Source organism: Homo sapiens, chromosome 14, assembly GCF_000001405.40.
Source record: "Homo sapiens chromosome 14, GRCh38.p14 Primary Assembly".
Taxonomy (NCBI): Eukaryota; Metazoa; Chordata; class Mammalia; order Primates; family Hominidae; genus Homo; species Homo sapiens.
In genome coordinates, this window is record NC_000014.9 from 80,473,368 (window position 1) to 80,488,289 (window position 14,922).

At 40.1% G+C, this 14,922-nt stretch overlaps 1 protein-coding gene across 3 annotated transcripts in view; it reads right to left on the reverse strand.

Annotated features, from left to right (window-relative positions):
* Positions 1-3,601: 3,601 nt before the first annotated feature.
* CEP128 (centrosomal protein 128) overlaps positions 3,602-14,922 on the reverse strand; it is a 482,534-nt gene continuing 471,213 nt past the window's right edge. For all 3 annotated transcript variants that reach the window (XM_047431023.1, XM_011536493.3, XM_011536491.3), the window contains one exon: positions 3,602-5,040. In XM_047431023.1, coding sequence (XP_047286979.1) covers positions 5,039-5,040 — 2 coding nt within the window. In that variant the 3' untranslated portion in view covers positions 3,602-5,038. The remainder of the gene's footprint in view (positions 5,041-14,922) is intronic.

Here is a 14,922-nt window from a genome sequence, read left to right on the forward strand (position 1 = left end):
CCACCCCTGTGGAATATACAGCCCCCCTCCCAGTTACTTTGATGGGCTGGCATTGAGTGTCTGTGGCTTATCCAGGTGCACAGTGCAAGCTGTCAGTGAATCTACCATTCTGGGGCCTGAGGGACTGTGGCCCTCTTCTCACAGCTCCACTAAGCAGTGCCCCAGTGGGGACACTGTGTGGGTGCTCCGACCCCACGTTTCCCTTTCCACACTGCCCTAGCAGAGGTTTACCATGAGGGCTCAACCCCTGCAGCAAACTTCTGCCTGGACTTCTGTAGCAGGTGTTTTCATACATCCTCTGAAATCTAGGCAGAAGTTCCAAAACTTCAATTCCTGACTTCTGTGCACCTGCAGGCCCAACACCATGTGGAAGCTGCCAAGTCTTGGGGGTTGCACTCTCTGAAGCAACAGCCTGAGGTGTACATTGTCCCCTTCTAGCCACAGCTGGGATGCAGGGCACCAAGTCCCAAGACTGTACAAAGTAGCAAGGTGCTGGGCCCAGCCCATGAAATCATTTTTCCCACTAGGACTCCAGGCCTGTGATGGGAGGGGCTGCTGTGAAGGTCTCTGACATGCCCTGGAGACATTTTTTCCCCATTGTCTTGGCAATTCACATTTGGCTCCTAGTTACTTATGCAAATTACTACAGCAGGCTTGAATTTCTCCCCAGAAAATGGGTTTTTCTTTTCTATCTCATTGTCAGGTTGCAAATTTTCCAAACTGTTATGCTCTGCTTCCATTTTAAACATAAGTTCCAATTTCAGATCATCTCTCTCAAGTTCAAAGTTCCACAGATCTCTAGGGCAGGGGCGAAACGCTGCCAATCTCTTTGCTAAAGCATAGCAAGGGTCACCTTTGCTCCAGTTCCCAATAAGTTCCTCATCTCCATCTGAGACCACCTCAGCCTGGACTTCATTGTCCATATTACTATCAGTATTTTGTCAAAATCATTCAACAAGTCTCTAGGAAGTTCCAAACTTTCCCACATCTTCCTGTCTTCTTCTGAGCCCTCCAAACTGTTCCAACCTCTGTCTGCTACCCAATTCCAAAGTCGCTTCCACATTTTCCAGTATCTTTATAGCAGTGCCCCATTCGTAGTACCAACTTACTGTATTAGTCCATTCTCACACTTCTATAAAGATACTATCCAAGACTAGGTAATTTATAAAGAAAAGAGGTTTAATTGACTCACAGTTCCACATGGCTGGGCAGGCCTCAGGAAACTTACAATCATGGCAGAAGGAGAAGCAAACACCTTCTTCACAAGGCAGCAGGAGAGAGTGTGCATGTGTAAGCACAAAAAAACCTGCCATTTATAAAACCATCAGATCTTGTGAGAATTCACTCACTATCATGAGAACAACATGGGGGATGTTGCTTCCATAATCCAATCACTTCCCTTTCCCTTCCTTGAAACGTGGGAATTACAGGTTCCCCACTTGACATGTGTGGATTACAATTTGAGATGAAATTTGGGTGGGGACATAGAGCCATACCATATCAATTCTCTAATCCCTGGAACCTGTAAATGTTAACTTATTTGAAAAAAAGGATCTTTGTAGGTATGATTAAGTTAAGGATCTTGAGATTCAGGGCATTATCTTGGATTATCTGTCTGGACCCTAAATAGCATCATAAATGTCCTTGTAAGAGGGGGATCTGACACACAGAGAAGAGTAGAAGGCCATGTGACCACAGAGGCAGAGATTGGAGTAACGCAGCCATAAACCGAAGCTGGCAGCCACCAGAACTTGGAAGAGGCAAGAGATCGATTCTTCTGTGGAGGTGATACCTTCATTTCTGTTTGGTGAAACTGATTTTGGACTTCTGGCCTCCAGAACTGTGACAGAATACATTTCTGTGTTTTAACTCATCTAGTTTGTAATTTGTTTCAGAGGCCACAGGATGACTAATACAGTACATTGTTTATGACTGTGGATTCTCTTCTCACAGGCCTATATCACCCAAACCTGAAAAGGGAAAGAAGGATGTGAAGAAAATAATATAGGAGGAAGAAGAATGAAGAAACAGCGGGCAAGAAAAAGAAGAAGACTAGAAAGAGAAGATGAAGCAGGATAAAGTGGAGGAGAAATAGCTTTACTGAATGGTAGGTCATATACAAATTATACTGGGGAAAAGTGAAATTTGGCCCCTAAATTCCACATCTACCTACACGGTGAACATTGAGGGTATGCCTAGGTCCTAAGAGGAATTTGTCTTCAATAATCTTCATGAATCATTTAAGAGTTTTAATGGTAACTAACGAGAAAAATTTCAGTAAGCTATATTAAAACTGTTAAATGATTTATTTAACAGTTTTGGTCAAAACAGTGACCCCCTTATTCATCAAGCACTTAGGGTTGATTTGGCAACACTAAACATCCTTTAAGATTCTGTTCATAACCTACTTCCTCTATAAAATCTTCTTTGACCTCTGCTCTTTCCATTTTCTGAATTTGTGTTCCACGTACAGGAAGTATGTCTGTTACTTCTGCTCTTCCAACAACAACAACAACAACAAAAAGCCCAAGGATGCTGCTAAATATCTTAAAAGGTACAAGCAAATAGTTATGATAGTTTTATATCTCCTCCAGCAGTCTGCACGGCGAAGGACTATAATAGAGTCCTTGTGGTGACTGACGGATTAACCACTATTCTGAGGCCAATAATACAGATGGCCTCATCTGTTTCATCTTCTATCTTCTACCTGTGTATCATATTGTGCAATGGTGATTGATATTGAGAATTATATCCCTGAGGCTTGCCAGGTCTAAATCAGAAAAAATAGACTGATAAAATTCATTGTCTTGCTAGTTGAGAAAATCTACTCATACATTTTAGGAAGATTTCCAACTGGAAGAATTGAAGCCAGAATGCATTTCTCATCATCCTAATTTAATGCAATTAACTGCAACCCTCAAGTCCCAAGTATTCAAAGCATCAGAAGAATTGCTTTATTAACCAAAGATTCATAGGTTTAGCCTATAAATATACCTGAAGGTACCTACTTTCTGTTATTTATTTCCCACTGTGTGGTAAGTCTTAGCATAAATGTGGTATAAAACAAGCTTATTTTTCAGTTGATTATACATTACTGGCTTAAAATTGCCCAGAGGAAAGTCTTCATTCATGGGCTTGTTTATATTTTTTATATTGCTCATTTATATCCAGTGTAACTGAAATTGAAGTTCAGTTCTGTAAACTATCCCACAGTAAGTACTCAGATAACTGCCCACATGCAAAACATTAGGTACACACAGGGCTAAAGAATTTAGTCAAGAGGGCGGGCATGGTGGCTCATGCCTGAATCCCAGCACTTTGGGAGGCCAAGGCAGGCAGACTACTTGAGGTCAGGAGTTCAATACCAGCCTGGCCAACATGGTGAAACCCCATCTCTACTAAAAATACAAAAATTAGACGGGTGTGGTGACATGCGCCTGTAATTCCAGCTACTCGGGAGGCTGAGGTGGGAGAATCGGTTGAACTCAGGAGGCGGAGGTTGCAGTGAGCCCAGATGGTGCCACTGCACTCCAGCCTGGGTGACAGAGTGAGTCTCTGTCTCAAAAAAAAAAAAATTTAGTCAAGGACATACAACTGTTCGTAAGAATCCTTCATGATTTTACATTTAATGTTTATTTATTTTTTTATTTTTTAAGCATAAGAAAACCAAAGGCACATTGTTGGCATTCCTATCACGTCAAAACAATGAATATAAACCACATCATACAATTAAGAATCAGAAATATAGAGAATGGGAATAAATTAACCAAGGAACTCATTAATACACCTCCAAACAGAAAACTAGGACCTAAAATAATGTAAACCTTAGTGAAACAACAGCTGCTCTTATGAAAATCCATATATTCTAATAGTACAGTATTACTGCCTTTCCTACCTTGGAAAAATTACATTATAGTTATGTGGCCCATATTAAGGTTTCTTTGGGCTTTTATAAGTATAAAAGCATTTCAAAAGGATAAGCTTTTGAAACTGGACATTTAGCTATCCACTAAGTCAAGTCCCTTGAGAAAAAGTTCCATTTTTTTCCTCTGGCTCTTTTAGAATGTTCCAAAAGAATGATTCAGAGAAACCATAAATAAAAGAATTATGAACAAAGTCTTAAAATGTAAAGCACCTCCCCGTGTTATCTATACATCTAAACCACGATGCAGTCATGTCAGTCACCTGTCCCATGCATTTCTATTTTGATGACCTGAATTAGGCCTGAATAATGAGTGGAACTAAAAGGCCCACACACCATGGAAAGCTTAGCGAGTTCTAAGGAGGGGGAAAGGTCCTTGCTTTGGCTGATTTTACCAGATTCCTTTTTTCTACTTTCCAAAATGAATCCAGTAGGTTGTAGTCTGTTTTTCTGTCTGTTAATGATAGCGTGCTTAAAGTTCTACTAGCATTTTCTGGAACTCTTTAACCTCACTGTCGTCCTGAGAGAACTCTGCCCCTGAAGGGGAAAATAATTTTTCTTCACCCAGGGCCTTTTTCCTTGTATTAATATTAACATCCCATGAGAATATTAGCTCTGGAGGAAAGAATTTGGTGGCAAAATTCCATATTTACTCATGAAATCCACCCCCAACTTCCACTCACACATTTTAATAGGACACTCAAAAGAAAAGCTCCCCATTCCTCCCTCTCTTCCTGGATACTTCCCTTCAGCTTCATCTGACACCCACAGTTTTTTCCCCCCTTTTTTCTGCTTGAATCAATAAACACTTTTTACTAGCAGAGCGTTCTTTCAGTAGTGTATACCCTGTATTTGATAGGGCAGAAAAGTATTTAAATTTTTAAAAAATCACTTGGCACTGGCTGGAGTGTAGAAACAGAAAATGGAGTCAGTTATTGCTTAAGCCCCCAGCATCTAATCCCACCTGGCTGCTCTTTGTTCCCTCTCTTGGGTTGCAGAGAAGATAGGCATAGCAAAACCTGATGCACCATCATGGCTCCACGAGATTTAAGCAGTGTAGTGTGGTTGACAGCAGCCTTCCAGCCTTCCTTTCCTGGAAATGCTATTTAAAACACCCTCTATGAGAGACAGAAAAAAACTCATTGGTGTCATTGATTCTTTAAAATAATTTTTAAATGACACTTTGCATATGTAGCTGAGTGACAAAACATACGGATTCTGAAGCAACATATACTGTCTGCATTCAAATTTGGGTCCCATGCTTACCAGTATGTGATCTTGGGTAAGTTACTCAATCCCACTGTCCTGCAATTTCCTCATATAAGATACATTCTTGAATGAAAATGATAATAATACTAACCTCATAGGGTTGTTGTGAGGATTGAGTTAAAATATTTAAAGCTCTTCCGAATACTGTTTGCATATAGCAGATGATACACGTTAGGTACAGAGTATCAACATCCCCTTCTCTGATACATAGGTAGATTTGAAGATATGCTTATAACAATATATCTCTTTCTATGTATCTGAACTGGCATTCAGTAAATATTTGATAAATTAATGCAATCTAACAGAATAAATATGCTAATTCCAGAGTCCAGTTAGCTTTGTCACTCATTGTTCAACAGCTTCTGTGATTTGTTGCTGATTAATAAATAGAGATAGAACCTCAGAGTTTATGGATGAAGTGGATCAGGCCTAGATAGTAAGAAACATTTATGATGAGCCTGTGTGTGCCAGGTTCTGAGGTTGACACTTTTCATGAGCCATTACATGTAAGTCTCCTAACAGCTCTTTTAAGGCAGATGCAATTCATTCCTTTATAGAAATAAGAAAAATGAAGCTCAGAAATGTTAAGTAAATTACCCCAAATCGCACAATTAGTAAGTTGTGCAAGAGGTAGGATTCTAATCTTATGCTATTTTTAAGCAAAATATAACATGTAAAAAGGAGGTGGAGGGTGGATTATGCAAGTAAAATGATTTTACAGACAGTTCATTATTGAATAAAACATTGAAAAACAAGGGTATTTTCAAACTGCTGATGAAGACACACCTGAAACTGGGAACAAAAAGAGGTTTAATTGGACTCGTAGTTCCACATGGCTGGAGAGGCCTCAGAATCATGGTGGGAGGTGAAAGGCACTTCTTACATGGTAGCAGCAAGAGAAAAATAAGAAGAAGCAAAAGCGGAAACCCCTGATAAACCCATTCCAATCTCATGAGACTTATTCACTATCATGAGAATATCACGGGAAAGATAGGCCCCCATGATTGAATTACCTTCCACTGGGTCCCTCCCACAACATGTGGGAATTCTGGGAGGTAGAATACAAGTTGAGATTTTGGTGGGGACACAGCCAAACCGTATCATTCTGCCCCTGGTCCCTCCAAACCTAACACCCTCACATTTCAAAACCAATCATGCTTTCCCAACAGTCCCTGAAAGTCTTAACTCATTTCAGCATTAACCCAAAAGTCCACAGTCCAAAGTCTCATCTGACATAAGGTAAGCCCCTTACACGTATGAGCCTGTAAAATTAAAAGGAAGCTAGTTACTTCCTAGATACAATAGGAGTTCAGGTATTGGGTAAATACAGCCATTGCAAGTCTTAAATCCAGTGGGGCAGTCAAATGTTAAAGCTCCAAAATGATCTCCTTTGACTCCAGGTCTCACATCCAGGTCATGCTGATGCAAGAGGTGTGTTGCCATGGTCTTGGGCAGCTCCACTCTGTGGCTTTGCAGGGTACAGCCTCCCTCCTGGCTGCTTTCATGGGCTGGTGTTGAGTGTCTGTGGCTTTTCCAGGCACACGGTGCAAGCTGTTGGTGAAATCTATTATTCTGGATTCTGGAGGATGGTGGCCCTCTTCTCACAGCTCCACTGGACAGTGCCCCAGTAAGGACTCTGTGTGGGGGCTCTGACCCCACATTTCTCTTCTGCACTGCCCTAGCAGAGGTTCTCCATGAGAACCTTGCCCCTGCAGCAAACTTTTGCCTGGGCATCCAGGTGTTTCCATACATCTTCTGAAATCTAGGCAGAGGTTCTCAAACCTCAATTCCTGACTTCTATGTACCCGCAGGCTCAACACCACGTGGAAGCTGCCAAGGCTTGGGGCTTCCACCCTCTGAAGCCATAGCCCAACCCATACACTGGCCCCTTTCAGCCATGGCTGGAGTGGCTGAGACCCAGGGCATCAAGTCCCTAGGCTGCATACAACAAAGGGACCCTGGACCTGGCCCAGGAAACCATATTTTCCTCCTGGGCCTGCAGGCCTGTGATGGGAGGGGCTGCCGAGAAGGTCTCTGACATGGCCTGGAGATATTTTCCCCAGAAAATAGGTTTTTCTTTTCTATTGCATAGTAAGGCTGCAAATTTTCCAAACTTCATGCTCTGCTTCCCTTATAAAACTGCATGACTTTAACAGTACCCAAGTCACCTCTTGAATGCTTTGCTGCTTAGAAATTTCTTCTGCCAGATATCCTAAATCATCCTTCTCAAGTTCAAAGTTCCACAGATCTCTAGGACAGGGGCAAAATGCAGCCAGTCTCTTTGCTGAAACATAACAAGCGTCACCTTTACTCCAGTTCCCAAAAAGTTCCTCATCTTCACCTGAGACCACCTCAGCCTGGACCTTTATTGTTCAAATTGCTATCATCATTTTGGGCAAAGCCATTCAACATGTCTCTAGGAAGTTCTAAACTTTCCCACATTTTCCTGTTTCCTTCTGAGCCCTCCAAACTGTTCCAACCTCTGCCTGTTACCCAGTTCCAAAGTCGCTTCCACATTTTCGGGTATGTTTTCAGCAACTCCCCACTCTGCTGGTAACAATTTACTGTATTAGCCCATTTTCATGCTGCTGCTAAAGACATACCCGAGACAGGGAAGAAAAAGAGGTTTAACTGGACTTACAGTTCTGCACGGCTGGGGAGGCCTCAGAATCATGGCAGGAGGCAAAAGGCACTTCTTACATGGCAGCAGCAAGAGAAAAATGAGAAAGAAGCAAAAGCAGAAACCCCTGATAAACCCATTAGCTCTCGTAAGGCTTATTCGCTATCAGAAGAACAGCATGGGAAAGACCGGCCCCCATGGTTGAATTACCTCTCCCTGGGTCCCTCCTACAACATGTGGCAGTTCTCAGAGATACAATTCAAGTTAAGATTTCAGTGGGGACACAGCCAAACCATACCACAAGGCTTATAATTCAAAGATGGTTTGGTCTCTCTTAGCATTAGCTTTGCAGTAGAGATTCAGACTATATATTGTCCACTTTAATCCAGTGCAGAATGTTATTGTATACTTCAACAGTATATTCATAAACTCTAGAAATGGAAAGTGACCCAGTTATTCAACTTCCTCAGTTAACAGCAAAGAGGCATGAGAGGTGAATGGCAGGCTCAATGTCACATGGCAAACAGTGACAGACACAGCCAGGATTTCTCTGGACCTAACACTAATCCCCTTACAGTAGTCAGGATAGCCAACCAGACACTGTGGTTTTAAATCCATCCATTTAGATGTATGTGATCCTAGTTCACCTTAAATAGCCCAATTCCTACTTTAGTATCTAAACCTAAAAAGAGTATTAGACTAATTCTTAATATTATCTGGGATGACAAAATAAATAAGATTATTCTCTAGCAGTAAAATAGGTAGACTTAATACCTAGGAACTTCTATTTTTAAAACCTGACCAAAATTCTGGTACAGCTGTACCTTGTCAAGGGACAAAGAGAGTTAAATATAGTTTGGGTGGGAGAATCGCTTTTTAAAGAAAAAGTGCTGCTCCTTTTTTTATGAAGACAGGAGTTAAGAGAATCTTATTTTTTTTTTCTGTTAGATTGCATTCATTCACTAAATATTGACATTTACCCAAACAACTATAACAGCAGAAATGCTACTTCCTTTGCATATTTCTGAGTATTTATTACAGAGCTGGGCTTTTAGTAGTCACTGATTGGTGGTGTCTTTTCCTATGTTTAGTACGTTGGATAACTTCAAAACAAAAGTCACTGATGTTATATCAGCTACTACTGATGTACTGCTATAGAGACAAAGAAGCATACGGTTCTTGACTATTCCAATGCTTGTGTTGTCCAGAACCATGCAGTGTAGTATGCACTTTCTTAGTTATAATGTCATCAGTAACATGAAGTCCAAAGGCATACAGTTTCTTTCATTGTGCATGCACCAGAAGCTTAGAATCAATAGCACTCTTATCAGGCTGACAAGCATCAAGTTGCATTATGGTATCTATACTAAAAAACTGGCACCATCTAACTATAGCATAGGGCCTAGGAAGCTTTGTTAATATGAGCGACAAGACACATGAAAAGCACATTATCCACTGCTTCAGCAACACTGCATCACCAGACATATCAGCTGAAAAAGCCGAACCTTGGGAAGCTCAAACTTTATGACCTAAACTTCAAAATGTGCCAAACATCACTTTAGTAGAAAGGGTTGTGAATTGCAAAGGCAATGTGGAGAGAGAGGAAATAGTAAAGGTAAAGAAACAAAGAGGGACAGAAGTACACAATTCTAAGTGATTTTTATAGCAGACGCTTAGCCCAAGTAAGAAAATAAATCGCTAAATGACAAGAAATTGGCCTGTGAGCTAAGCAAGTTTCTCAAGCCAAATATCTTAAAATAAAGGATCACTGGTGGGATGAATAGGCAACCAAACCACAATCGGCTTGTACATTAGCCAAATATTGGCAGGTCGAGAAAGCTCAGCAAAGACTGACCTGCCATATCCTATAGGGGGTGAAGCACAACTTACTGAGGATGACATTGAAAAGTCAACAATCAGGGAACAACTGATGTTATTTATCATTATGAGTCTCTCCACCTTCCCTAAAAACCCACATTGCAAAGCCAACTTAGAATTTAAGGGAGCAACATTACAATCTCAAGGATTTTGTTCCACATTAACCATCCAGTGGATAGTCCTGGGGAAGCATGTGATGATGACAGATACAATCCACAAATATGACGGCCAACACACACTCAGGCCTTCAGCTGTAGACTTGCACAAACACAAAAGAAATAATGGATGCAATGACAGCACAGATATTCTACTAATATCTTTTAAGGCAAAATCAGCATATTTCATGCTCAGTAAATTAGTTGCTAATAGTGGTGACACAGGGATGCTATCTGATTGGTGTGGTTTTCATGCCATTCATGGCACTGAAGGCATGATTTAAACTATCAGGCAGAAGTTCCAAGAACAACACGGCGATGTGAATTTAAATGAATACAGTCAAGCTAGTGGTTCTGTGAAGTGCTGAAAGACTGCAAATTTGGCTACCAAAACCAGTTAATAAACATTCTTTGCTCACTGTGGTAAGGAAAGATGGTTGAGAGTATAGATGGAGTTAGCTCAGTTAGTAAATGTATTTTGAACACTTATTGTATGTCAGCCACAGTACTAGGCAAAAGACAATGCCTTTCTTCAAAGAGGTTACTGTCTAGTGAAACATTTTATAATTTAGAAATACAGTAATCATGTTTGTAGAAGCTATACATAATTTAACAAATAAGCTGCTTTCTAGGTACCATTAGTTATGTCTGGCGATTTTCTATGTAGCTTTTAAAGCTTCTGATTCTGGATAAAATACTGATTGAAAGTTAAGATGTTTAACAGGTGATGGTATCAAAATGATAAAACCCCTAATCTTGATTCCTTTTTCTTTTTTTTTCTCTGAGACAGGGTCCCACTCTGTTGCCTAGGCTAGAGTGCAGTGGCACAATCACAGCTCACTGCAGCCTTGACCTCCAGGGCTCAAGCGATCCTCTCACCTCAGCTTCTCAAGCAGATGGGACTACAGGCGTGCACCACCATGCCCAACTAATTTTTGTATTTTTTATAGAGATGGAGTTTTTACCAAGTTTCCTGGGCTGGTCTCAAACTCCTGAGCTCAAGCAATCTGCCTGCCTCGGCCTCCCAAAATGCTGGAATTATAGGCGTGAGCCACCGCACTCAGCCAATCTTGGTTCTTATTTATACAAATTTTTCTATATGCTAGACCTCTGGCTACTAATTATAAAATGCATGGCAAATATCAAAGTGGTGATGATTTACCTTGGTCAGACCTCACCAAGACCTACTTGGGTTATCAATGTTACCACATGGGTCCTCACACAAATTATAGGTAACTTGGGAATTAGCTCCCATGATGCTATCAACCGACAGTAATTATTCTGTTGGTAAAAGGCAGTATTGCTTTTGTTAAATTGATCAAACATTTAGGTAAAGTCATGGTATTGAGATCAGTATCAGAATGAACAGGGATCTCACTCTGGTGATTGCCACTTTGATAGGCATCAGTTATCACCTTAGGAAAGCAGGTAATTTCATACACATTTGAAAGGACAAAAGAAGATACCACTCACATCCATGCTTTCAACACTAGGGTTACAGACCACAGGGAGATTTTAACTTATTCTCCTTTAGATTCCTTCTTTTTTTCCAGTTCACTTGTAATGACTCTCCAAGAAGAGAAATAGACACTGGAAAGGTATTGAACATTTAGCCTGAACATCTACTGGCATGAATATTGCACGGGAAAATTTTTCTATATCTGTTCTGTGGTACCAGTGTCTACAACTGCACATTCCTCTAAGAAATACAGTCCCAAAAGGGAAAGGGTAGAGAAATCTGACCTCAATTGTGGGCATTGGTGTGAGAAATAACACATTGTCTACAGCTCAAAAGCAGTGGAATCAAGGTAGCATCAGACAGAAGACGGCAGCCATTGTGGACAGCTGTCTCTCAGTGGCTCCAGAACTGCATTGTTCTCACATGAGATTTGTCTATGAGAAGTTCAGCCCATATCCAGTAATGGTTCTGAGAATCTGAATATCATCTTCATTTAATACCCAACAAATGATACATTTTCACATACATACACACAAGATCCTTGCTTCTGGAAAGTAAAGGTTGCCCAAAAACAAAACAAGAAGAATCATTTTGCGGTTGTATGGCTTCACCTTTAGTATTTATCTCAAAAGGGGTCAAGGAAAATGGGAGGGTCTTGGCTCTCTTATTTGATATTATCTCAATATATACAACTTTTAGATCCTCTTCCTTTCCAAAAGTCCAATTTCATTCCTTTTTCTGAGAAGAGCAATAAACAGTGAAATATGAATGAGTAATGAAAGTTTAGCATGGTCAAGTCTAGTCATACCAACCTCAAATTGTGTATAACTATTATCATTGCTAATTAGGAATTATGAAGTATATGCATACTGAAACATATAGGTCTAGCTAACCAACTTTATCAGCGTACCAAGTAAAGAAATTATACTGAAATTCTTAAAAATCACAAGGTTAAGACTGGTAACATATAATAGAGACTTTTTTAGCCAATTAAATAAGATTTGGCACATAATAGGTCCACAAGAATTTAGCAATGAATGAATAAATGGATAGATGATTGAATTAAGGGAAATAATGTTTTCTCGAGTGGAAGGCCACTAGTGCTGAGGAAACGTAGGAATTGAAGTATGTAATTGTTGGCGTATGTGCCTGTCCAATGATGGGAAGTTTTTCCAAAGTAGATAACAGCAGGTGGAATAAAATGCATGTGTATATTCATGTAGGCTGTTTTTAAAAGACATTATCTACATTACCACTTGGTACAAATTCCAAACCATAAAATCACTGAAGACACTGTAAACACAGTTTGAGGAGCTATGCTGTTTGCTCCATTTACTTGGTTTTGTTATTTATGCAAGAGCTGTACATTTTAGTACTTTAACTGTTGCAATTAGCTAGAAGGGTGGGGAATCCTTAGCAAAGCTTCTAAATGGGACCTATTGCATTGTAGTTACTCAATAAATAAGTACTCTTTCAAAGAAACACCTTCTCTGAAGTCCTTAAAGGAGCTAATGGAGCTGAAAGCCAAGGCTCAAGAACTAGGCGAAGAATGCAGAAGCCTCAGGAGCCGATGTGATCAACTGGAAGAAAGGGTATCAGTGATGGAAGATGAAATGAACGAAATGAAGCGAGAAGGGAAGTTTAGAGAAAAAAAAATAAAAAGAAACAAACAAAGCCTCCAAGAAATATGGGACTATGTGAAAAGACCAAATCTACGTCTGATTGGTGTACCTGAAAGTGACAGGGAGAATGGAACCAAGTTGGAAAACACTCTGCAGGATATTATCCAGGAGAACTTCCCCAATCTAGCAAGGCAGGCCAACATTCAGATTCAGGAAATACAGAGAACGCCCCAAAGATACTTCTCGAGAAGAGCAACTCCAAGACACATAATTGTCAGATTCACCAAAGTTGAAATGAAGGAAAAAATGTTAAGGGCAGCCAGAGAGAAACGTTGGGTTACCCACAAAGGGAAGCCCATCAGACTAACAGCGGATCTCTCAGCAGAAACTCTACAAGCCAGAAGAGAGTGGGGGCCAATATTCAACATTCTTAAAGAAAAGAATTTTCAATCCAGAATTTCATATCCAGCCAAACTAAGCTTCATAAGTGAAGGAGAAATAAAATACTTTACAGAGTAAAGTAAAGCAAATGCTGAGAGATTTTGTCACCACCAGGCCTGCCCTAAATAGCTCCTGAAGGAAGCACTAAACATGGAAAGGAACAACCGGTACCGGCCACTGCAAACACATGCAAAAATGTAAAGACCATCAAGGCTAGGAAGAAACTGCATCAACTAACGAGCAAAATAACCAGCTAACATCATAATGACAGGACCAAATACATACATAATAATATTAATTTTAAATGTAAATGGGCTAAATGCTCCAATTAAAAGACACAAACTGGCAAACTGGATAAAGAGTCAAAACCCATCAGTGTGCTGTATTCAGGAAACCCATCTCACGTGCAGAGACACACATAGGCTCAAAATAAAGGGATAGAGGAAGATCTACCAAGCAAATGGAAAACAAAAAAAGGCAGGGGTTGCAATCCTAGTCTCTGATAAAACAGACTTTAAACCAATAAAGATCAAAAGAGACAAAGAAAGCCATTACATAATGGTAAAGGGATCAATTCAACAAGAAGAGCTAACTATCCTAAATATATATGCACCCAATACTGGAGCACCCAGATTCATAAAGCAAGTCCTTAGTGACCTACAAAGAGACTTAGACTCCCACACAATAATAATGGGAAACTTTAATACCCCACTGTCAACATTAGACAGATCAACGAGACAGAAAGTTAACAAGGATACCCAGGAATTGAACTCAGCTCTGCACCAAGTGGACCTAATAGACATCTGCAGAACTCTCCACCCCAAATCAACAGAATATACATTCTTTTCAGCACCACACCAAACCTACTCCAAAATTGACCACATAGTTGGAAGTAAAGCACTCCTCAGCAAATGTAAAAGAACAGAAATTACAACAAACTGTCTCTCAGACCACAGTGCAATCAAACTAGAACTCAGGACTAAGAAACTCACTCAAAACTGCTCAACTACATGGAAACTGAACAACCTGCTCCTGAATGACTACTGGGTATATAACGAAATGAAGGCAGAAATAAAGATGTTTTTTGAAACCAACAAGAACAAAGACACAACATACCAGAATCTCTGGGACACATTCAAAGCAGTGTGTAGAGGGAAATTTATAGCAGTAAATGCCCACAAGAGAAAGCAAGAAAGATCCAAAATTGACACCCTAATGTCACAATTAAAAGAACTAGAAAAGCAAGAGCAAACACATTCAAAAGCTAGCAGAAGGCAAGAAATAACTAAAATCAGAGCAGAACTGAAGGAAATAGAGACACAAAAAACCCTTCAAAAATCAATGAATCCAGGAGCTGGTTTTTTGAAAAGATCAACAAAATCAATAGATCGCTAGCAAGGCTAATAAAGAAGAAAAGAGAGAAGAATCAAACAGATGCAATAAAAAATGATAAAGGGGATATCACCTCTGATCCCACAGAAAATTTTCGCAACCTACTCATCTGACAAAGGGCTAATATCCAGAATCTACAATGAACTCAAACAAATTTACAAGAA